Below are 25,393 nucleotides of genomic sequence, written 5' to 3'. Positions count from 1 at the left end.
CAACATATGTACAATAAAGAACGTTTCTTAAAAATTATATTGAAGTGAAGATAATAATACTCTACAGCCTATATAAACAGTAAATTCTAATAACAGACTTACATGGAAATAAACATTATAGCATTTATTATGAAAATGCAGTACGAATCTGTATCAGTTAGCACTTGCTATATAAAATACACCACCAAAAATTTAAGGAATTAAAACAACAATGACTTTTTAGCTCATGATACTGTAGGGTGACAATTTGGGCTAAGGTCAGCTAGGAGTTCCTTCTTCTGAGTTTGGCTGGGCTCACTCACGTATCTGCAATGTGCTGGCAGTCAACGACTCACTCATACATCTGGCATTAGCTAGCTGTCGGCTAGGGCCCTGCATCGATTGTCACTCAATATCCAGTGGACTAGCTCATGCTTATTTATATAGAGTGCCCACGAGCAGCAAGTGGGAAAGCTCTGGGCCTCTTTAGTCTGGGCTCAGAATTCTCACAGTGTCTCTTCAACTGCATTCTATTGCTCAAAGTAAATTCCAAGGCCAGTCCAGATTCAAGATGGATGTGAATACACTTCTGTACCCCACCTTGATGGGAGGAGCTGCAAAGTATTATAGAATTCTTATAATATATCACAATGTCATTGAACAGAGACCTTTTGAGAAAATAGAAAAATATTGTGATACCCTTTAGGGATATCACAGATTCACTAAGAATAGATTCTGTCAAACTGACCTTCTTTCATTTTGTAACAATGTTAAGTGGGAAGCCAAAAAAATAACAAAAGCTTAGAATTTTGATTTCAGACAATATTTGATGATTATTTTACTATTTTTGGCAAAAATATATTGAAATTTAGGCTATACCGAACAGTTGGATAACTGTATAAATATTTAGACAATTATAATTTTTAAATGTTGATTAAAAGATCATTCTCCACCTGAATTCTTTAGGACACATGCAAAAGGATGTTAGTCAGCATATATTTTTTATTTTTATTTTTGGAGATGGAGTCTCGCTCTGTCACCCAGGCTGGAGGGCAGTGGCGCGATCTCAGCTCACTGCAAGCTCCGCCTCCTGGGTTCAGGCCATTCTCCTGCCTCAGCCTCCCGAGTAGCTGGGACTACAGGCGCCCGCCACCACGCCCAGCTAATTTTTTGTATTTTTAGTAGAGACGGGGTTTCATCGTGTTAGCCAGGATGGTCTCAATCTCCTGACCTCGTGATCTGCCTGCCTCCACCCACCTCGGCCTCCCAAAGTGCTGGGATTACAGGCGTGAGCCACTGCACCCGGCCAGATGTTAGTCAGCATTTCTAAGTAATAAATGCTTACACTTAAAATATTTAGACGGTATATGATCTCATTTGTAGATTTAGAAAAGATAGTAGAAAGAGGCGGCATGATTGATAAGGAAATGAACTTGGAATTAGCATAAATGATTTGAAATTATATGTTGTTTTCTAGGATAAGTGCCACAAATATTCTGGCACATTTATTTCCAATAATTTTAACACACACACACAAACACACACACACACACACATACACACATACACACAATTGGCTTATCATGATTACATAGCTTTATTTCCTACCTTCTTCAGTTACTTTTACATCAAAAAGAAAACATAGTCCTATATCATAAAATGTTCTCGGAAAACAAGGTTTCTAATGATCAGCAAGTTTTGTACATTCGTAAATTAACTGAAAAAGTTGGAGGACACTTGTTTGATAATAATCATAAAAGTACGATTTAGGGGATTTATGCAGATTTATTCAAATTCAAGTTTAGTATGTGAACATGGTATGAGGTACTGCCAAAAATATGATAGAGCTGCTCTAAGCTGAATCAACAGAAACAGGCTGCCTTCCAGTTCTAGAAACTAATGGAGCCATATTGCTGATGAAACATCATGTAGGCTATTGCTTTCTATTAATTTTTAATCTTAATGTTAAATATATCAGTAACTAATTAGGCTATGTCTGAAAACGAATAACCATGATGATAAGGCATCTGAAATTCATATTGTGTGTGGAATAGTTGAAAGCCTTTACTCAAAGAAGAGGACAAAAAGGTGAGGCTTTTTCATTTTCCTACCAACTGGTATGACTATGAGCTCTAAAAATGTACACCTGCTAACAGACTGCTTCCCAAAGTCAATTCTGAGTTCCTCAATTATCCCTGAAACCTTTCCAAGACTTAGAAGTCATAGGATTCATATAATATGTGTTGAATAGATAAGTGAACAAAAGACTATATTAGTAAACTAGAACCAATAAGTGGAACTAACAGAGAGAGAATTTTCACCTCAGTATAAGAAAAATTTATACCTTATGAAATATTAACTCCTGATTTTTAGAAGTCTGCCAAACTGACTATAAAAGGTATGCATACGTTAAGAGTTTTACTGGATTCAGAAATCATCTGACACAAAATGTGGCTTTTTTTTAAATAGAGATAAGATTATCTCTATTCTGTACAATGACCAATTCTGCCTGTTTTATTGTGTATGTTGAAATGTTGCTATCAGAAGTATTGCACATATTCAATTTTCATCTCAAATAGTGCTTTTTGCATAGAATAGTTTTGAAATTTTTGAACAGTAGAGTTTCTTAAACAAGATAAAAATTGATACATTGGATTACACTAAAATTAAGAATTTATGTTTCCCAAAAGACATTATTAAGGGAGGGAAAACACAACCCATGGAATGGGAAAAGATATTCACAATATGCATATTTGACAAAGGACTCATGTGCAGAAAATGTTTAAAAAATTTCTATCTACCATTAAGGAAAGAGGCTCACTACTTATTAGAAAAGTAAGCAGAAAACCTGAATGAACACAACGGAAGATATCCAAATGGCCAGTTAAATACAGAAAAGATAATCAATTCCATCAGTCATAAGTGTATGGAAGCTTAAAACTACAACAAAATCACACTACATAGAAAATGCTAAGGACCTGTGGCCTCATAACAATGGTGATACCAGAGGGCAGAGATGTGGAGCAACTGAAGATGCATTCAGGTTAGTAAGAAAGCAATCTGGTACAACCACTTTAGAAATGGTGGCAGTAATCGTACTCATGAAAGCTGAGTATATGTCTTGCCTATTACCTAGAAGTTTCACCCCTAGGGATCTACCCAACAGACATCGCTTCTTATGTTCGCAAAAAGACATGTGCAGGAATGTTCACAGTGTCATTATTCATAAATCCCCAAGCTATAAACTATCCAAATGCCCACATTAAAAGCAGAATAAAAAATAAATTGTGGGAGAATTCACGTACTGGAATAATATAAATCTACGAGAATAAGGAATCTAAATTGTAATTGTAAATGTCAGACAGCAATTGTAAATGTCTGTTTCCTATTCTCTACTAGCTGGAAAAATGTGTTCATTTTCTACAAATTCATGAAACATATTTATGGTATGTGTACTTTATTGGTATGTGTCTATTATACATCAATAACAATTTTAAAATATTTTACTAGGCCGTTTTCACAAACTTATAATGCATATGTTTTGTTATTCTTCATAAGTATAACATTATTTATTTATTTATTTATTTATTTATTTATTTATTTATGAGAGGGAGTCTCGTTCTGTTGCCCAGGCTGGAGTGCAGTGGTGCGATCTCAGCTCGCTACAACCTCCACCTCCTGGGTTCAAGTAATTCTACCACCTCAGCCTCCCTTTCAAGTAGCTGGGATTACAGACATGTGCCACTACGCTCGGTTAAGTTTTGTATTTTTAGTAGAGATGGGGTTTCACCATGTTGGCCAGGCTGGTCTCAAATTCCTGACTGCAGGTTATCCCCCTGCCTTAGCCTCCCAAAGTGTTGGGATTGCAGGCGTGAGCCACTGCACCCAGTCAGAATAACAGAATTTTCAGAGTTTAAACTGTTATTTTGAAAATCAGTTATCCATTACCACACGTGAACTTTATAATGAGCAGGCCACATCTATCCCTACTCTCAAAAACTGCTTTTTATTTCCTAAGAGTCATCATTTTATTTATACTTTTGCTGTGATTTCCTAAATGAAGCTGTTGTTCAATTTCTGCTATTGTAGTAATAGTTCTTACTTCTCCAAGCTTAGTCCATGGGAATTACAAAATAGGCAGTAGCTAGGTCGTCTTTCTCATGTTTCTTAGCTCTAGTTATACTTTAGTCTCCTTATCTAAAAAGTGAAGATAACGGTAGTACACACGAAGACTAAATGAGAATGCATTTAAAGCACCTCTAACGGCATCTGGCAAGTACTACTTAATATTAATAAATGATAGCCAGTATTGTTAGTAGTCTTTCATGAAGTTACAGTAATATAGACACTGAAGCTGGTATTAGATAATGCTTTAAACATTCTAGGGAAAAATACAATTAGTTGTGAATTTTACCATATCATAATATATAAATTTATTATTCTTAAGTAGGAAGGAGTATGCATTTTTGAGATAATAGCATAGCATTTTTTGTTCCTGTTTCTTAGTTGATCTAAAGTTTCCCTAATCATTAAAATAACGACAATCATTATTACAAGAAGACAGAATTCAGTCTGTAACAAATAATTGATTGCTTAATATTATTGAAAATATTTTTAAGTTCATTGTGACAAAATAGTCTCAAAAGTTAGATTTCATTGAGCACAAAAGTGTTTTCCAAATTCAAGAACTTTTCTTTATCTATCAAATACAAAATCTTGGTTACCACAGCATACAGTGGCACTATTAACCACAATGCATAGGGTGCAAGATATATTTCAGAGAACCTGTGACAGTGAGGGTAAATAAAGGTTCAAATAGCAGTAAGGAAGCAAGGGGATTCAGAAGGGGTATTTCTAAAGATAAGATACAATTTGAATTCCTGAGAAAGAAGCTGGTGCCTCCATACCCTTGGGACTAGGCACAAGATTAACAGTTACATAAAAAAAATTCAAGATAGGTCAAAGAGCAGGGTGAAGGTTGAAAGAATTTGTGCCCCACTTCTCATTTGATAGCTGGGGGGATCAGAATGCAGGGGTGCTCCTTGCCAATATGGAATAGCCACAGCAGAGGAAAAATGATAAGACACAGTTAGGTAGATATGGCTTGAGACAGCGTATCCGATGTCTATGAATCCAAAAGTTCTTATGTGTCCCAGTGGTGCTATGCAGGAATGCTCTGAGGACTAGTATTCTAAGAGAGCTGGCATCAGGACAGGTGCAGAATATGAGCAATAGTTGCCAACAGAGGGTGTCCACATAGCCCAAGTCTCACAGCACATGTCCAGTGACCAGGCTGGATGGGGCCAACTCTGCAGAGACCAGCAAGGACCCAAAGAGTAGCAAGAAAACCAGAGACTTTTTTCTCCCTTCATCTGCCATTACCCTGAGGACACAAAAGCTTCCCTACACACACTGTATCCATCCATCTGAAGAAGCCATTTTAAAAATGAGAAAGAAAGAGAGAAACTTCATAGAAAAGGAAAAAAAGGTGCTGAAAAGAAATTTGACCTTGAAATTTACTAATCTTTTACTCTAATGAGGCTTTCTCAAACCAAAAGAAAATAGCTTAATTTAGGTTTCCCCCATCATCACCAACCTCCTTTGCAACCACCAGCAGCAGGAAAGGAGATTTGAAAGAAAGCAAGAAGAATATGTTACAGAAAATACTGAGTTACATTTTCTTGTACATTTGATAAGTATCCTGTCTGAAATCCCTGTAAGTAAAACATATAAATTACAATGCACTTGGCTGATTTACTATACTGCAACGGACTTATGATTACTTAGAGGAAGATCCATATCATACATCACCCTTGACAAGGAAAACTCTATTAACATCCATAAACCTACCCTGGCAATAGAGTATGGATATTGTTATTGAACAGAGGAATTTCACTAGTTACGTTCTGACAAGGAAATCAAAGAATGCCAAAAACACTTGTAAGTGTTGGAGGATGACTCAAACATGTTCCACCTCCTTACTGATTTTCTAGCACAAGGCTATGGCTGGCTTTCCATAATATTATGAGTCTTGAATTTTATGTTAAAGACATATTTATTTTTCTAAGCAGGTTTATTAGAGTAACCTAAGCAATAATTATCAATAAATGGGACGCTTAGGACACGGGCGTAGAATTTTATAGCCACTTTTTAAAATGCCATGGCTTTGAGATAACCCACTTCAATCTGCCGAGTCTTAATTTTAATCAGGTACAAAAAGGAGACACTTGTCTTAGAAGATCCTCCACTCTTTCTTCCACATTCAAAAGTCTATATTTGATGAGATAGGTTTGGAGACACACGTGACCACCATTGGATTGGGGTAGCATCGCTCAAGGTAGACTTAGTATACTCTGCTAAGGCCAAAATTATTAAGGTTTGGACTTTGGATCACTGATATATAGATTGAGCATTTCTTATCTAAAATTCTTGGGACCAGAAGTGCTTCTAATTTTGAGTTTTCTTTTCAGATTTTAGAATCTTTGCATATACATAATGAGGTATCTTGGGGATGGAAACTAAGTCTAAACAAGAAATTTATGTTTCATATACACTCTACGTTTAGCCTAAAGGTAATTTTTTCAGCAAATAATTTTGTGCATGAAACAAAGTTTTGACTGTGTTTTGACTACAACCCATCACCTGAAATCAGGTATGGAATTTTCCATGTGTGGTGTCATGTTGGCACCCAAAAAGTTTCAGATTTTGGAGAATTTCAGATTTTGAATTTTTGGATTATAAATACTCAACCTGCATAGAAATAGCATAGCTGGCATTTCTATCCAATAAATCATGAACAGTCTCTAGGATGGCTCTTTTTGCGATATAGACATGAAGTAAATCATGAGTCAAAGTAATACAATCATAAAAATAATTATTTTTTATTCAACACATATGTTTAAATCACTATTACATACAACACATTGTGTTTGGGAAGCTCAAGAGATATAAACATGAATCAAATCGGTTTCTCATTAAAGAAAGTTTAAAGAAATTTAATTAGAGTTTAAATAAATTTAATTTTAATTACATTGGGGGAAGCTTGAATGATTGCCAAGATTATGGCTATGCTCAGGAAGATTAGTTTGCCAACAATGTCTATGAAGGATTAGCCACCAAAATAAAAGAAAACATCACTATTATGCAGTAATTCCCAAAAGACTCAAAAGCTATGAACTATAAACTTTGACTGACTGGTAAACACAGCACATATCTCTTTCAAGTACATATGAAATTGCATGGAATCATATTGAAAATATTGATTTTTTTTAATCCTCATTAGGAGATTTCTCTGCTTTCACCTGGGTTTCTTCCTCCAAAAATAAAGAGCAATCATGAAATTTAAATCATTCAGTGTTCCAGTTCCTATGGCAAATGTAGCATATATCTTGTTCAACAGATAATAAGGCAGTTAACTCTTTATCCTGTATGCCACTGCCAGGATGGATAAACTGTTCCAAAGTTTAGTAAACTATGTGCTGTATTAAAAATGATATGAGCACATTATTCAATATTTGTAGTGGAGGATAAAGTTCCTGTGTGTCTCCAACTTGACTATATCCAGCAGAGAAAAGGTTTTGATTTATTTGGAGTAAAACACTTGGAATACAATAGAAGGGAGCAAGGACTTCTCATAGATTTTTCCCATTAAGCATTTTTGGGCAAGCCTTAGAAGTTACTCTGCAGGATGGATCTTATATTCATTCAGTGGCCTAGCTTTACAGCTAGTAGCAAAATTCATTGCCTTAACCCAGAGCAGTCTTGTTATTTTAACATGGCTGTTTCTATTTATAAAGTTACACAATCCAGTTGGTTCATTCTTCCTCCCTGTCTGAGACACAGTTTACAAAAAGAAACCACAGTCATTACAAAAATACATTGCCAGGAAATCCAAGTGTTGTTTTCTAGTGGAAACTGAAAGATCCACACCTTGACTTATGTCTTACTCATCCTAAATCACATCTTTGCAGCACTTTCTCCTGGCTAAAGAATGTGCTCTGAAGTTTTACTACGTTCATTAGAAGGCCATCTTTTATATTCTGACTATTCTTGTTGTGGTTTTATAGGTGTTCTGTAAATAAAAGTCTGCTGTACAACAGGAAGCACCCTCTGCCAAGTCTTTTGGAGAGAGTAGCAACACATCCACAAGAGAATCCAGGTGGCAAGACATTTGAACAAAAGGTTTACACAACAGCATTCAAAAGAAGAAAGTAAAAGACAAGACAGACATAGGAACTCATTCTAACTCTCCTTTCAGCCTCCTGGCAGCTGCACCAGCTGGATGTTCATACAGGTCAACATCGTGATAGAGTGCTATATATGGGAACTTTCCTCTGAAGGCTAAAACAAGCTACACATGCAGAGAACAAACACGGGGCTAAGACATCAGAGACTTTCTTGCAAGTCCTTGAAATATGAAATTTAATTAAAATTTAACTACCATTTGATCAAGGCTACAGAAGAGAAAGAAAAATAGTGGTGTTTGTAATACTTTGTGTAGCATCTTTGCTCATGCAGAATGAATGAGAAAATGTTATACAGAATTAATTGTAGATAAAGTCAGCACCTGGGGCACTCTCCATTTATTCTTCCTAGAAGGACTTCTTGCCTGTTGGATCCTCTGCCCTGTTGCTTTCAGTTGGATTTCATCTTCCCACCCTTTTCATTTTCTCAGCTTGATTCACATAGATCATACATAAGAGCTAAAGAAAATGTGTTTAGTGCCTGAGGGAATTCATTTTCTGCCTGGGATAACTAGACAAAATGTGATGCAATTCCTCCCCTGAATTTAAAATGTTTTGTTATCTTGAAGGCAATTTTCCTCATCCAATAAAAACAGAGAAGGAAAACGGGTGACCTTTAAAAACATATTTTTGAAATCGAAGATTCTCACACACAGAAATGCCTCTGATAATTTTGGGTGTAGACAGATGCTCTCTTCCTCTTTGTACTCCCCACACATTCTGTCAATGGCCTATTGTTAAAGTGTGGACTTTCTCCTAGACCACATCCTGTCTGTCTTACAGAGGAGAAGCATACTGTTGAAGTGAAAAGAAAGTCTTGATATCTGTGTGTAGTCTCTGAAGGTATAGAAAAAACAAATTCACTGCAGTACCTCAAGATATCATTATATTCAACTCAGGGCCCGTAAGATTTAGGTTGGAAATTTCCTGATGATGAACTCATGGAACTAAGACATGTTTGTTTTATTGACAAATCAAAGCTTTTTTCATAAAAGGAAAGTGTATTATTTTCATTGCCAACACTGGTTAAAAATGGTAGGAAAAAGGGATGAAGAGCAAATGTATATATTTGAACCTCATTGAAAAAAAATCATTCTCCTTTGAATAAAACCTCTGAAGAAGCTACTTCTAATTTGAAAAATTCCTGTTAAAGAAAGGACATTTCCCATTAAATCTGAAATAGATAATTGACAGCATCTAACAACGAATCCTTAATTTAACAAGGCAATAATATATTTAAAAATTGATAAATATGAGATCTCCAACTACTATAAAATTAGAACTAATAATTAGACTATTATAGAAAACTAGAATGAAATCAAGGAGAAAATCAAGGAAATTGGACTCATAACTCGAGTAACCAATCATCCCAGTTTGCCTGGGACTGAAGAATCTCCAAAACAAGACACTGCGCACTAAAATCAGCACAGTCTGAAGATAACCAGTACAGTTGGTCAGCCTATGTGATAACTCATTTATTCTTCCAACATTTTCGTATTTATCCTTCAAGAGATTTTTCTATTAGAATTATCTTCCTGCATATATTATCCTCACTATTTCTAAATACATTGCATTCATTCATTATGCAAACACAAAATGAATTAACTTTTAGAGAATAAACTCCTGACAGTGGATTCTCAGATAGTTCATACCTAAAGCAATAAACACAAAATCTGAATCTCTATTAATAGATTTTAATGGAGGAGGATCTGAAATTACAGACACTTTGTCATTTAGTATTGGATGTGTTTTTGGTTTTGGTGCTTATCAACTCTTGAGTGAATTCATTTCTCAGCTACATAAGCCTATCCCTTTCCTCTCCAATCTTCGTTCATCCGGAATTGGAGATATGACTCAGAGATCAGTAATCTTTATGTGCTTTTTGGAGTGCACTGCATTGTAAAGCTAGTATTTTGGTACACTTAATGTTTAAAGAATTAAACTAATCAGCCAGGCCCAGTGGCTCAAGCCTGTAATCCCAGCACTTTGGGAGGTTGAGGTGGGCAGATCACCTGATGTCAGGGGTTCGAGACCAGCCTGAGCAACATGGAGACACCCCGTCTCTACTAAAACTACAAAATTAGCTGGGCATGGTGGCATGTGCCTGTAATCCCCGCTACTTGGGAGGCTGAGGCAGGAGAATCACTTGAACCCAGGAGGCGGATGTTGCAGGGAGCCAAGATCGTGACATTGCACTCCAGTCTGGGCAACAAGAGTGAAACTCCATCTCAAAAAAAAAAAAAAAAAAAGTATTAGCCTAATCAAACTTAATGAAAATATGAAAAAATAGAAAACCTCTAAAAGATATCACTAATATCCAAAACTTCAATAGATGAGAAAATTTCTGTCTATTCCACATTGGTTTTTTAATTGACTTAAACATAGGAGGAAAAAACATTCAACAATGGTGAAGTAAAGCGTGATGATTTGTAGATATGCTTCTTTCTGCAATAAAATAAATAAAGTACTTGGGTTCTTTTAAGTGTTGTAGCAAAAATCTGAAATAAAGTCATTCAATATTAGGATGTTATAGGTTCTTAGTCAAAGTCCAAGAGCACATGGTCCTCTCTTCTAAAGGCAGTGCCAGACTGCACTGAGCCCCAATCTAAGCACAAACCCATCTGAGCTCTATCCCATAAATCACTACTAAGATTGTTTTTCTTCAAAACAAGACTGCCTGAATTTGGGAAGTGTATTTGTATTCCACAAGATTCCTTTTATTAAAATAGATGGATCCAGGAGCTATTGAATATCATATATATATATACACACATATACATATTTATACAAAACTGTGTGTAAATTTTTCTCGTTAGTTCTATGCTTATTGATATTCTAAAAAAAGAATAGCCTGTGCTAAAAATTGTGTGTTTGTAGGTCTCATTTGCTTCCAAAAATGATAGGTAATGTCTTAACGTTATTATGATGCTATAACAGTACGCTTTTATTTCTGGCTACAATTAAGTGAGGTTGCTATTCTTGTCCTAATCCCAAAGTCGAGAAAATTGAGTAAAAACATGCAAGATGACACAGTTGGAGTAAAGGACTCCAATTCAGGCCACCTGACTAGAAGTTTAGTGATTTCATATTAACTACTGCTGCTGTAATGCTGTATGCAACATATACTCTACATATTTAGACTACAGGATGAATAAGTATGCCCATGTATCATATGTAGGTATATGTATATGACTATATTCTTTCTGCCCAACGAAAAAATATTTAATAGAACCATTAAAATAAAAATTTAAAACAAGTCCATATAGAATGGAGGGATAAGGGGAGAAAATAATAATTAAAATCTGGAATAAAAATGTTAGTGAGAAATTTTTTATTTAAACTACATTGTATTATCCCTATAAACACAACTCAAAAAAATTTATTGCACACCTAGAAGCAAGTAAAGTTGTGACTCTCCTGACCAAATATTAGCTCATGCTTTGGGCATTGCTATGGTCTGAATGTGACCTTCAAATTCATATGTTGAAACTTAATCACCAATGTGATAGCTTTACAGGTTGGGCCTTTAAATGATGATTAAGTCATGAGGATGGAGCCCTCATAGATGGGAATAAGGCCCCTATAAAAGGGCTTGAAAGAGTGGGTTCATTCTCTTTTGGCCTTCTGCTGTGTGAAGACATGGCATCCCTCCCCTGTGGACGATGCAGAAACAATGTGCCATTTTGGAAGCAGAGTTAGCCCTTACCAGACACCAAACCTGCCGTCACCTCGATCTTAGACATCCCAGGCTCCAGAACTGTAAGAAATAAATTTCTGTTGTTCATAAATTACCCAGTCTGTAGTATTTTGTCATAGCAGCACAAATGCACTGATTAAAGCAACATTACTCACTTAATCTTAACAGCTCAACAGCTCAGATCCAAATGTGTGGACGACCCCTAGCCACTGTACAGAATTGCACAGCAAAAATTTTATGTATCGGCCTTTCCTCTAGCTTTATCCTTTTCTAGTGTTCTTTTCTTCATATAATCCCATTTTATTTGCATATGTTTTGAAATTTTATATATTTTGTATGTTTTTAATTCTACTAAATCTTTTTTTTTTTTAAACAAGACAGGGTCTAAATTGGTTGTAAACTGGGGCAATGCCCCCCGCCCTTTGTGAGATGTTTGGCATTGGCATTGTCTGGATATATTTTTGATCGTCACAATTAGAGACGGCAAACCTGTTCTAAATAAAACAATTACATCCAGACCTACAGTAAAAGCTATGATTGTTTAAAATCTGCATTATAATCATTTCTGTGGCTTCTAGGTAATATTGAATAGGAATTTAATATTGAAAAAATGAATATAGATTCCTAAAAAGAACCTAAAAAGACACCTAAAATGACTATAGATTCCTAAAAAAAAAAAATAGGAATTTAATATTCAAAGAACCCCAGGTTCTTTTTAGGAATCTATATTCAATCTGTTTTTCTAAGTATATTTTCTATAATGCCTATAAGATACACACACAAACACACACACACACACACACACAAATGATTAACAAAAACAAGGAAAGTTACCTGGGGTCCACAGTGCAGACCTGGAAGTGGTAACTGAAAGGGTTTACATTTACCGAAATAGTCTTTTTTTTTGTAATACAATAGGTCTAGCTGGAATCAGAAGACAATAGCTGAGAGAACATATTGTTGGAGATAATAGTAAACCTTGTATTCAATGGAGGAAGGCAACACACAAGTGTGGATATCAAAAAGCCAGCCAAAGGAAGGAAGAAATAGTATAAAAAGCAGGTGCTTTGAGGAGAAAAGAAATGTGAAACAGAATCCAAATAATATATGAGTCAAAATAATAACATAAAAAGTTCTGGCAAAAATATCACCCTGTAGAAATTCAATAAATTGTCCAAAAAAAAGGTACAGCAAGTTTATATGAAAGATGTGAGCATTCAGGGACAATAAAGAGAAATATATAATCTGTACATTTTTTAAGCCTAAAAAGTGAGCAATTTAACTTGATCCAAGCTGAAGCTAAACAATGAACACTGCTGAAGAGAAGGAGAAACCTGGATACAAATAGTCTTATACCACAACTAAATCTACAGACAAATTACCTTAGAAATTCACCTTGCATTTAAAAAGAGATTGTTCGGTGTAATATTCTTTATATGTGCTTATCATGGTCTGAAAGGATTGTAATATGAGCTTCTTCTTTTGATGCTGAGTTTTCCAGTGATCCATTCACACATTCCCACTCGGTGACCCTTGGAACCACTTTGCAATGAGCTGACAGAAGTTTCACAATACCTCCAAGCCAAGAGAGAGGACACCTCCTTACACAACAATGCAGTCACCTATTTGGCATCATCTAGTATCCCGCCAATGCCTCCTTCTTGCTGGATACTTGACTTCACCCGATTTGTTAAACTTCTCTTCTACAATTCAGATCGTACACAGTCTTGGCCTTTCTGGTTCCCAGCTCTGACAGAGAGTTTCCAGGTCCAGCAAGAAAATAATGCTAATAACAGGTATTGAAGCAAGTTGAAGCAAGGGTGCAGGACCAAGAGAGAGACCTGCTTTCAGGATGTGAGACTGGATGAGCAGGTTGGAACAGAAGAAATTAAAAATAGCTAGAAAGATCCTAAGGTGGGAAACAGACCACAGTGAGCTTTTTATATGGTATTTGTGTATATCTGGACCTGGTCTACTTTTAAAAGCTGGGTTAACTGCAAGATCTTTATTTAGTAACTTGAGTGTCATTATGGTTCTTCTCTTATTCAGTGTTTTGCTTTAAAAGATATATCCCTGTAATTCTGGACAACTTATTGACAATCTGAGCACCTTAGACTATTTTTTAAATGGTGAATTTTTGCTTAATCTTGAACATCTGACTAAATAGCCAGTTTCTAGCTAACTATATGCTGGCTAATAGTTTACCAAACTATTTCCCGTAATTTCTGGGTACACAGATACATGATATTTCCTAGTCTCTCTTGAAATTAGGTATTATCATCTCACTGAGTTCTGACCAATGAAATAGAGTGGAAGTGATATGTGGAATTCCCAGCCTCTTATGCAATCCTCCATTTTCTCTCTTTCACTGATGGCTGGCTAGAGGTGAGATGATGAAACCATATACTGGAGGGAACCTAGTTTCTTTGTTACCATATATATGTGTCAGCAACCATTTTCTATAAATGGCCAGTTAGTATATATGTTAGTCTTTGCAAGCCACATAGTCTCTATTGTGACTACTCATCTCTGCCATTATAGGATAAAAGCAGCCACAGGAAATGCATAAACCAGCATCAGGGCTGTGTTCCAACAAGATTTGACTTTAGGAAACTGGGCACCAGGCCAAATTTGGCCTTTGGGTCATAGTTTGTTAACCCCTAACTATATGAGAGCATTAAAAAAGTGGAGAATAAATTTCTATTGTGTTAAGCCACTGAGACCTAGGTTTTATCTGTTATAGAAGTTAGCATTACCTTAACTAGTGCAATGCCATTTTGATTGCATATAAAATTTGCTTGGTCACATTTCATTATGAAAAATTTTGAACCTGCCCACTCCAGGTTTTCAGTTTTACAGAAAAGTTACTTACAATATCAAAATACAGCAAAAAGAAGAGATAGCCCATAGTTTTTATTTATTTGTTTTTGCTTTTCGTTTATGGAGGTGGCATCACGTTGTTATACTGGGAAAATGTTACATTTTTACATGACTCTTTCATCTAGTGACTTTTTTTCCAGGCAGAATTGCAACACATTTTAACAAATAATTCTATGATTTGCAGAGGGGAGGTCCTCCATGTAACCAATTAATGAACTCTACCACAGATATCAAATTTCTGTATTGGACCCAGTAACTAGTAATCCAAAGTAAAACAGTTCTTACAGAAAAATGAAGTAACAGTGGGATTTGCAGAGACAGAAGAGTCCAAAGTGAAATTTGTCAAAGATTAATTCAGTGCTCCTGGTAAGAATTTATTATTTTCTTTGTTTTCTTATTATGTGACTCAGTATCCACAAAGACAGTAAAGAATAACATTGATTTTGACTGCTGATTGTCTATACATTGTTGTGAGGAAACATCAGAGAGGGAGACTCAGAGAGTAAGGACAGGGAAGTCAAATAGACCTAGGTTGGAATTCCAGCTCTGCCCTAGCATCTCTCTGAGATCAGTTGCTACGGCTGTTTGACCAGAGTTATAGCTTGGGTATAACTTCCAGCATGTGGGAGGCACTCAAAAAGTGTTAGTAATAATCCTTAATTTTAACTACTACTTGCTACCCAGTTCACACAAATTATCACTTCCAACTAAACTGTACATTTCTGAGTGAAGAAAATGTATTTATCCTCCAAGATATAGAATTTTTGGATTGCTGATGATTAATAGCTTAATCCAAACATCTATAGCCTGTTTTACTAGATTTGTCCCTCTTCCATTGCTCTTGAGCTTGGTACTTTAGTGAAAACCTTGCTCCATCATATTCTCCTCATCTGTATTTTGGAAATGTCCCCCACCCATTTACTGGCTCTTTATATATTTTATTTTGTTGTCAGCTTTCAAAATATGAACTTAATCATGTCACTTTGACATTTAGCATACTTCTTCCATTCTGTACAGAGTAAGTCCAAACTCTTTACAATGGCATTTAATGCCCATCTTCCCACTGACTTGAATAAGCCTCATCTCTCTTGGTTGCATCCTACATCCTAAGATTGGTGAGTAACCTGTAGGTTTATAAACACAACACACTATTTCATAGCCTGGTAAATGCTATTCCATATAAAATGTTCTTTTTTCCCATATTTACTTGACTAAATCAAATTCATTCTTTATTTTTATTTTTTTATTTTTTAGACAGATTCTTACTCTATCCCCCAGGCTGGAGTACAGTGGCGCGATCTCGGCTCACTACAACCTCCACCTCCTGGGTTCAAGTGATTCTCATACCTCAGCCTCCTGAGTAGCTGAGATGGCAAGCACTTGCCACCACGCCTGGCTAATTTTTATATTTTTAGTAGAGATGGGTTTTCACCATGTTGGCCAGGCTGGTCTAGATGAACTCCTGACCTCAGGTGATCCACTTTCCTTGGCCTCCCAAAGTGCTGGGATTACAGGTGTGAGCCACCATGCTTAACCTTCAAGACCTGGTTGAAATGTTACTTTTCCCATCTATAGAGAATTAATCACTGCTTCCTCTATTCCACTACCAATTATTAATTTTATGCACTTTTATGTGAAAGTATCAGATACTTTTATAATATTATAATACTAGTAGGTAATAAGTGTTGACCACCAACTATGTATTAGGCCCTCTTTTGACATATAGTTTATAAGCAATATCTCTTCTAATCTTCACAAAAATTCTGTGCTCATTTACATGATTATCCTCATTTTAAAGATGAAGAAACTGAGACTTAAGTATTAACTGCCTTGCCAAAGTCATTTTGCTAGTAAATATTGGAGTATTCCAAAAGTCAGAGTTTTCCAAAAGTCAGAGATCAAAAAAAGTGAAGCAAATGCAAAGCTTGACAGTGACCATGAACATAAACTGTGCTTTCAAGAAATGTCTCTGTGAAATAGGAAATATGGAGCAATTGATATATGGTGAAGAAAATTATTATTGTTGTTGTTATTACTATGATTTAAGTTAGTAAAGACCAAAGCATTATTGGAAGCTGATTCTAAAGCAGCATTTCTCAACTGTATTTGATTTTGCCTTTCTCAAATACAAAGGATGCCACTGGTACATAACAGTTTAATTGTGAAACCTGGAGGGTACATGGTGGATAGAGATAGACATGCTGCCAAATATCCTACGCTGCTCATAACAGACTCTATCCCTATGCCTAATACAGAGTTATCAGTTCTAAATGTCGCTGGTGCCAAGGCTGAAACATCTTGGTCCAATGATGCATTGGGGATGAAGACATTGACAATATGAGAAATGGGATCACTAATGGAACAAAATCAGGAAGAAAGAGAAAGGGAGGAGATAAAAATGTTACTCTTAGAAAAGTTTTATAAGCAACTATTATCCTCATTTCATTTCATTTTTTAACAAATACAGAGATTGAAGTCCAGAGAGTTTAAATGATTTACACTTTTAGGATCTAGCATAAGTTTAATTCAAAATTTGAGCTCCTAATACAATATTCTTTTAATTATACCACTTAATCTTTCAAGTTCAAAATTGGATATGGATAATTGTTGGTGATTTGATAGCATAAATATCAAACACGTAGCAATTATTTTGCCTGAAAATTAATGACATATCTATTGGCTTTATGTTTCTATAAACAATATATTTAGAGTCTTAGTTTTTATTAAAGGAAAGAAAGATGTCTACGACACAAGAAAAAAAGAAACTGAGAAGAATGTGTTCGGCAAATTGGCATCAAAAACACACAAAATACTGAAACTTTCAAAAAAATTAAAAAGTTGTATGAAATTTTCAGCAACATTTAATCATGTAATTAGCATCAACAATTTTAATAATTTCCAGTTCAAAGCATGAAATATAAGCCTTTAAAGACACTGTAAAGCATGAACTAAAATAATAGACAATAATACTGATGGCCACATTTCTACCAATTGTTACTCAAGAGCAATAAATGTACAATAATGAAAAGCTGAGCCTTCTGCCAGTAGAGAAAATGTTAAAATTCCAGCATTATTTCAACATTCTCCGACCATTGTTACCACAAAAGCAAAAACAATTAAAATGACCACGACAGTTTAACTGTGAAACCTGGAGAGTTATAACTAGAAAAAGAAATAATCATGTTTCTTTAAATACAAATAACTAAATGTGCAAGCACAGCAGAAACAGGCAAGAAAAGCAGAATCGTCTGGGGACCCAAGAGCTGACCTATGCAGCTGTAGGCCTGGCCAGCTCTGGAAATGCTACCATGTGAGCAAGCCAACAGGAGCATTGACAGTCCTCAGCAATCAGGCAACTTCTCCAAGAAGGAAACAGCTGGAGGCCAGAGCCAGTGATCTACTTTATTGACATCTGCTGCTATATTTCTAACATGGGGTTCCTTTTATTTATTTCTGTTACTCAAACAATGCAGTAGAGACCATGTGTCAACTTAATTGTCTTCTCCTGATAATTCTAGGCACTTCACACAACCACTGATTGATTTACAATTCACCAACAATGCTAATTTAATACCTAAAACAAACCCTACTATTAATTAAGTCAATCAGTAGTCCTCCTTCCCTTTCCCTAACCCCGAAAGAAGTATTTATTGCTGCAGTGTAGTTTCTTGGTTAAGAATAATGTCTTCTGTAACCATACAGCCTTAGTCTGAATCTCTATTCTACCACATTCTCGCATTGAGATATTGGCAAGTAATTTAACCTCTCTAAGCTGCAGTTTCTCCATCTGTAAAACGGGAAGAATAATAATTCCTATGCCATAAGGCTATTGTGAGGACTGAATGGAATACTCTATGAAGTGTTTGGCCCAGTACCTGACATACAGCCATTCTCTAACCATTGGTTAATATTAGACCTGTCTGCAATGATTTCTCCTAAATATCATTACCAGTGTCATTTGGTCTCATTCTTACATAAGATCTTTCTCCATTGTCTACCTGCTGTTTTCCATAAATATTATGCTTCATTTATAGTTGTTTACTTCCCTTTTGAGGAAAAGTTATGTAAACTTTTAAAGTTTAAAGTTTAAACTTTAAAAGTTTACATAACTTTTCCTCAAAAGAATGTTTTTACTCTATATATCTGAGTCCTATCTGCTCATTAAATTTCAAAAATTCGGTCTTTTCTGAATGCTCCATTCATATACAATTTCTCTCAGCCCTAACATTCTGCAAAAGAATTGTCCACATTAGCAATACTATTTATACAATACATTTGCATGACAATATTATTTATGCTTATTTTAAATATTTATTTTAACTACTGTTTTTGTGTATTTTCTGTTTTCAAAGCATTAGTGCCAGCTCTGTGTGAACACAACAGCAAGAAATAATTCTTACCATGGTTGCCCTTAACTAGCAGAGTGAATAGGAATTAAATAAGCATACATTCTACCATGGACATAAACGCCTCTACTCTTTGAATAAATTTCTTTGGATTGCCCCAAGCGGATGTAATCTCTCCTCCCTTATAGCATCCACACCAATTTGTCTATACTTTTATTTGACCTTTGAAATAATCTTAAATAGTGGGTAAGATTTGGATGATAGGGTAAACCCAGAAAAAATATTGCTGTTACATCATTAAGAGAAAGTATAAATAAAATAACATAGAAAAAAGTCTTCCTTTGAACAAACTTTAATTCAAATTTTGGATTTTGTTACTAGTTAACTGTGTGATCCTATGTATGACTCCTACTCTCTCTGTTTATTTCTCTGTAAATGTAGATTATAATACTTTCTTTGAAATGTTTTAAGAATAAAGTAAAAAATTTTCTATAAAATACAAGGCTTGTCCACAAAAAATAATTGCTTTCCATAATAATGTAAAACAGAATCTTGAGTTTGCACAAGTAATCTGAGAGGGAAGGAATGAGTGAGCCCAAGACTGGAAAGAAGTTGGAAATGAAAATAGGAGTAAAAGAAAGGTGGCAGACCAAGTTGGAAGGAGACTGGGGATTGAGATGTAAAAGCCAGGAAGTGCTCCACAGTAAGTATGGCCAAGAAACTTTCATGAACAGGGATGTTTAATGCTTAATTGGATGTTGTTTGCTGAGCTGTGACAAAATAGAACACTCTTTCTTAACCTTAACTTCCAGAATGTTAAGTAAAGGTTCCAAGGCAAAGTGACTCTGTTCTTCATTTGGGTGTATGCCCAGGAAGAATGGAAAAACAAATCCATATGAGAGAGATTAGAAAATTTGAGATAAGAAAGAAATCAGAACAAGATATAGCTAAGGAAAACATAAGCCCTTGAAATATTGTGGAGGATTTTCCAACTGCATATGACATAGAGTCTGGAACTAGTATTATTTATTTGTTAAAGGACAGTGGGACTAAACATTCTGAAGAAATTGGGACACCCAGGAAGAAGACATCTGGGATGTAGCAGCTAGATGGAGCTATGACGGAAATAGAGAAAGTGACAACTGGGAGACAAGAATGCCTGAATGAAGACATTATAAGATATGAGAAGCAAATAAAGTTTTCTTCTTAAGCAGGATGGTGAATATGCTGCATGGATGTGGGTAGAGAGACACAGGAGGAGACGATACCAATTTGGAATCACTGAAATAATTGATAGGAAACTTTAAAGGCCATCAAAGGATGAGCAATTGCAGAAGAAGATAAACCCAAGCTATAATACTGAAGTAAAATTCTCAACTTCTGGCAAGTTATGGGATGTGAAATGGTGATGTACTTTACCAGATATTAGTCTAGGAATTCGGGATTAGATGACTGGAATGATGGCATTTGCACTAATTGAAACAACAGGTGAAGGGAGTGACAACTGAACACACATTTCTGACACTGTCATATGTAAATTTGTTCTCTCAAACCAGATCATAAAACTGTTTGGTACAAGGACTAGCAGAGTACCCCACATAAATGTTTCTTAATGACAGTCGTCTATTGTGGGTACTATCAATAGTATCTTTTCCTAGAAATTGAACCCATAATTCTTAGCTGAGCACATGGCTGCCTAGAACAAATACTACATTTTTCAGTCTCCATTGGAGCAAGGTAAGGCCTTGGAACTATAACGAGGCCAGTGTGGAAGAATATTTAATAAAACAGGGTGTATCTTTTTAATTAAGTGGAGTGCAATTATCTACTCAAGACTATGAGGTGTGAGCCACAAATCGATGATGGCAACCAAAATAGAGCCTGGTTCCCTGACAACTTCCTGAAGTCTCCCTACCAGCCATACATGGACTGCTCAACTCCAGATTTCCTTTACATGAAAATGAAATAAACGTCTATCTTCTTTATGCTATTGTTATGTTGACTTTTCTGCTTTTGCAGCCAAGTCTAATTCTCTCTAATATAACTACCTTGTTCGATTTTGCTATTTACTTCAGTTCTGGGTTTTTTTTTTTTTCCCAAAAGCTAAAATAACTCTACATATACTTCTTTTTAACATTTAGAAATATTCTGAACTGCTGACCAGGCATTCTTTACATTTGTTTGAAAACATTTTTAATCTGATAAGTGGCATGGTGAAAACATCCCTATAAATACAACTTTGCTTACCACAGAGGCTTATTGGGATATCAGATGTTTGATTAATATGTTTGCTAACCAAAGAGATCAACCAAAATTATATTGAAAACAGTGCTTATAGTGCTCAAATCCTAGGCCAAGGTCATTTAGCAAAGTGGAAGTTTCACTAAACCTACAGAAAAGATAGCCATGGTCAGCAGAGACAGTGTCTCTCTCTATTCTTGCCATTGAATCCATACAGACTTGTGGATACACAGAAGATTAGAATGGAATTTTATGGCATTTCTTTTAATTATTTGCAAAAAGATAAATATTTTTAGTATTTTGTTGATAATTTATGTTTCCCTGCTTTTTACTCTGAATTGTTCACTTTGAACTGAGAACTATAAACCCATAAAAAATATTTTATTTTAACTGATTTTTCTCACATGGACAATGCTATGTTAGACATAGAACTCCACAAATCATCCATTCCCAACCCCTTGTTTTATACATAAAATTGATACAGGAAGGGGGCAGGGAAGTGCTGTGTAGAGAAAGATGGGGTCCCTGGCTAGGGCTCCACCCCTGGGCCTGTGCCCATGGACCTAGTGAGGACAGGCATTTATGTTTTCATGCCCAAATGTTGCATTGTCTAAGACCACCCTGGCCCACCACCTCCCCATTCTGTGCCTATAAAAACCCCGAGACCTTAGCAGGCAGAGACAAAAATGGCTGGACATCGAGAGGAACACACTGGCGGAAGAACACACAAGCGGCTGGACGTCGAAAGGAACACATAAGCGGCTGGACGTCGAAAGGAACACACCAGCAGAAGAGGACACCGACAGGCACCTGCAGACACCGGCAGGCCATCGACTGCAGAACGACATGGACCCGAGGGGAATCTAGCCAGGGAGGTCAGAGGAGAGTCTGGCTGCTGGGCGGCCCAACTCCAGAGGAAAATCACCTTTCCGCCTTATGGCTCCCCATCCATCTGCTGAGAGGTACTTCCAACATTCAAAAGAACCTTGCACTCATCCTCCAAGCCCACATGTGACTCGATTTTTCCGGAACCAAGGCGAGAACCCAGAATACAGAAAGCCCTCTGCCCTTGCAATAAGGCAGAGGGTCTAACTGAGCTGATTAACACAAGCCACCTTCATACTGCAAAACTAAAAGAACACACTGTAACACACGCCCACTGGAGCTTCAGGAGCTGTAAATACTCAACCCTAGATGCTGCTGTAGGGTCGAAGCTCCACACCCTGCCCATCTGCATGATCCCTCTAGAGGTTTCAGCAGCGGGGCATTGAAGACGTAAGCCACTCCTGCTGTCACATGCCCTGTGAGGGGGACAAGGAAACATTTCCTGTTTCGAAATGATTCCAAAAGATGAACAAACTTAACTGAATCCTTCTCGGAATAACTATTTATTCATTCATTGATTCATTAATTGCTGTATTCATTCATCCAACTACTATTTAATTCTTATCATGCATAAAGCATTGTACAGGGAGAGAGCTGGAACACAGGATAAGATACGAGACCTGCCTTCTATATGTTTTCAACTTAGTGGAGATACAAATAAATTATCCAGATAATTAAAAGAAATTATCCAGATAATTAAAATACACAAGCATTTCTACAGAAAAAGAATTGGGAAGGAGGAATGGTGGGGAAGGGATAGCTAGCAAAGACTTTATGAATAAAGTTGGATCTGGGATAAAGCTTAAAGGATCTGAACAGGTGAAGGTGGGATGGGCATTGTAGAAAAAGGAGTGGCTTTCTTTTTCACTTCTAGAGTTGATTTTTGTATAAAGGTTTTTTCCTTAAATTATTTTAAACTAACATTTGGATAGCAGAGTAAAATGAAAATATTTCCTAAGAAGCCAGAGACGAGGCTGTGACTTTGGAAAGCTTGACATCATAGTTAATGCTGCATTAAAAAGTGATGCTGAGTAGAATGATGGTTACCAGAGGCTGGAAAGGGTAGTGGCGAGGGGTAGGGGGAGTGTGGATCGTTAATGAGTACAAAAATACATTTAGATAGAATGAATAAGATCTAGTATTTGATAGCACTATAGGATGATTACTGTCAACAATAACTTATTCTATATTTTTAAATAACTAAAAGAATATATAATGTTTGCAACACAAAGACATGATAAATGCTTAAGGCAACAGATACTCCATTTACCCTGATATGATTATTACACATTGTATGCCTGTATCAGAATCTCTCATGAACCACATAAATATATACACCAATATGTACCCATAAATATATACACCTAATATGTACCAATAAAAGTAAAAATGCACAAAACAAAAGTGACGCTTATCAAGGTACAAATGAATCCGCATGAAGTTCAGCAGCTTCAGTGCCATTCTAGCATGCGTGACTGGAGAAAACGGTTGTAGTATGCTTTAGAAACCAAGGGCTATGAGCAACTACTCACAAAATATCATAAATTAAATGACTGAAAAAGATGTCAGTAATAAGTAAAAGAGTAGCGTTTCAGTTTACAAGGGAAAGTCCATATAAATGTGCAGTATCAAGGAAAATAGTATGTCATTTTCCTTCATACTGCAATGAATTAAGCAGCCTATGATACAAATTTTCAAGCAGAAATTCTTTGAAATGCAAATGACATTTAGAGAAAAGTGATGGTGTCTATATGAATTATTACAAATAAATGTCTTTTTGAAAGTACCTATTTTCATACATTGCAGTATGGATGACAATAGGTTCTCTTTTTCTCACATTTGTGACTGATTATGATTATTAGTAATAGAGCAATATCTAGAACTAACTAGGCATTCATCAATAAGTAGTATTAAATGATTACAATAGATGCATATTCAGAAAATTTTGATCATGACTTTTACAACTCTAAACTAAGAATACAGTGTTTACATAAGCTAAATATTCAGCTTTTCAGCCATTATAACTACTTACATCCTTACACTGGTATTCCTCTACTACTCCCCATTTCATAACATGTTTTATAGTGCACTTAAAGAGAAATGTGCATTTTAGCTACACAAGTCTGCAGGTAACTTCAGCAACTAACCTTGCTGTCTTCTTTCTCCTTGGCTTTTCCTTGGAGGGGTTTCTTCTCTCCAAATTCACAGGTTGATTTTAACGCAAGCTGACAAGAAAGCATGGAGCTCTCTGTTTCAGTAAGTTCCAAAGGTCTTGAAGAACAGTGCTGTGACCCAGTAGTGCCAAGATTTGGTATCGGAAGAGCAGTATGCACAGGCTTTGACCCAACAGCTGGCTGCCTCAGTTTTGAGGCAACCCCAAGAACAGGCATGGCTTCTATAAAATTATCTTCTTGCTGCCAAAGAAAATGCTTCTAACCTCAGTCTGGTAGACTCCAACTTTAGTATTTCCAGAACAAATACTTTAAACAAAACTAGCAGTCATCCTGATTTTTAAAAAGCTAATAATATAATTTTCAGGAAGAGGCAAAACTTCCCTGCATCTTTAGTTAAGTATCTTTTCTTTCTTGCTGGCTGGGATTCATATTCATTCTCATTCTCTCTCTCTCTCTCTTTCTCTCTCTCTCTCTCTCTCTCTGTCTCTCTCTCTCTCTCTCTCTCTCTGTCTCTCTCTCTCTCTCTGTTCAGTGACTCAGTATCTAAGTAATACTAAATACTCCTTTGGGGAGTAAACTCTTCTTCAAGGTAACTGCTACAAAGCTCCTTCTTAGGATTAAAGAGCTCTTAGTTTTGCTTATTTTTTTTTCTCACTAAAGCAGTCTGAGTCTGAACTTTGAGATTGAAAAAGAGGAAAAAATCAAAAGGAAAAGCCCTTCAGTCCAACTGTCAGAGCAGCCAAAAGACCACAACAGTGGAAGGACAGGGGTTCTTCCTGATTTCAGAAATAGCCAGCCTGCATTCTCTTTTTAAAGAAAATTGTATTTCCCCCAGCTCAGAAAAAATAAAAAGAATGGACATGTTAATGGCCAAAACAAACAGCTGTTGGAAGAACTTTTAGCCCGGAAACAATCTCAGCAATAAAGTTGTTTGTCTGATTTCCAGCT

At 36.1% G+C, this 25,393-nt stretch overlaps 1 protein-coding gene across 27 annotated transcripts in view; it reads right to left on the bottom strand.

The window, feature by feature from the left end:
• Positions 1-25,393, bottom strand: part of NAV3 (neuron navigator 3) — a 641,149-nt gene that overhangs the window by 356,888 nt on the left and 258,868 nt on the right. For 20 of the 27 annotated variants that reach the window (NM_001024383.2, NM_014903.6, XM_017020164.3 and 17 more), the window contains exon 1: positions 24,419-25,229. The exons of the other annotated variants lie outside the window; for them this stretch is intronic. In NM_001024383.2, coding sequence (NP_001019554.1) covers positions 24,419-24,661 — 243 coding nt within the window. In that variant the 5' untranslated portion in view covers positions 24,662-25,229. Of the gene's footprint in view, positions 1-24,418; positions 25,230-25,393 lie in introns of those variants that run through there. 27 annotated transcript variants of the gene reach the window in all.

The sequence above is a fragment of the Homo sapiens genome, chromosome 12 (assembly GCF_000001405.40).
Source record: "Homo sapiens chromosome 12, GRCh38.p14 Primary Assembly".
In the NCBI taxonomy this organism is placed as follows: domain Eukaryota; kingdom Metazoa; phylum Chordata; class Mammalia; order Primates; family Hominidae; genus Homo; species Homo sapiens.
The sequence above is the reverse complement of the archived record's forward strand: the minus strand, read 5'-3'. Positions and strand labels throughout refer to the sequence as shown.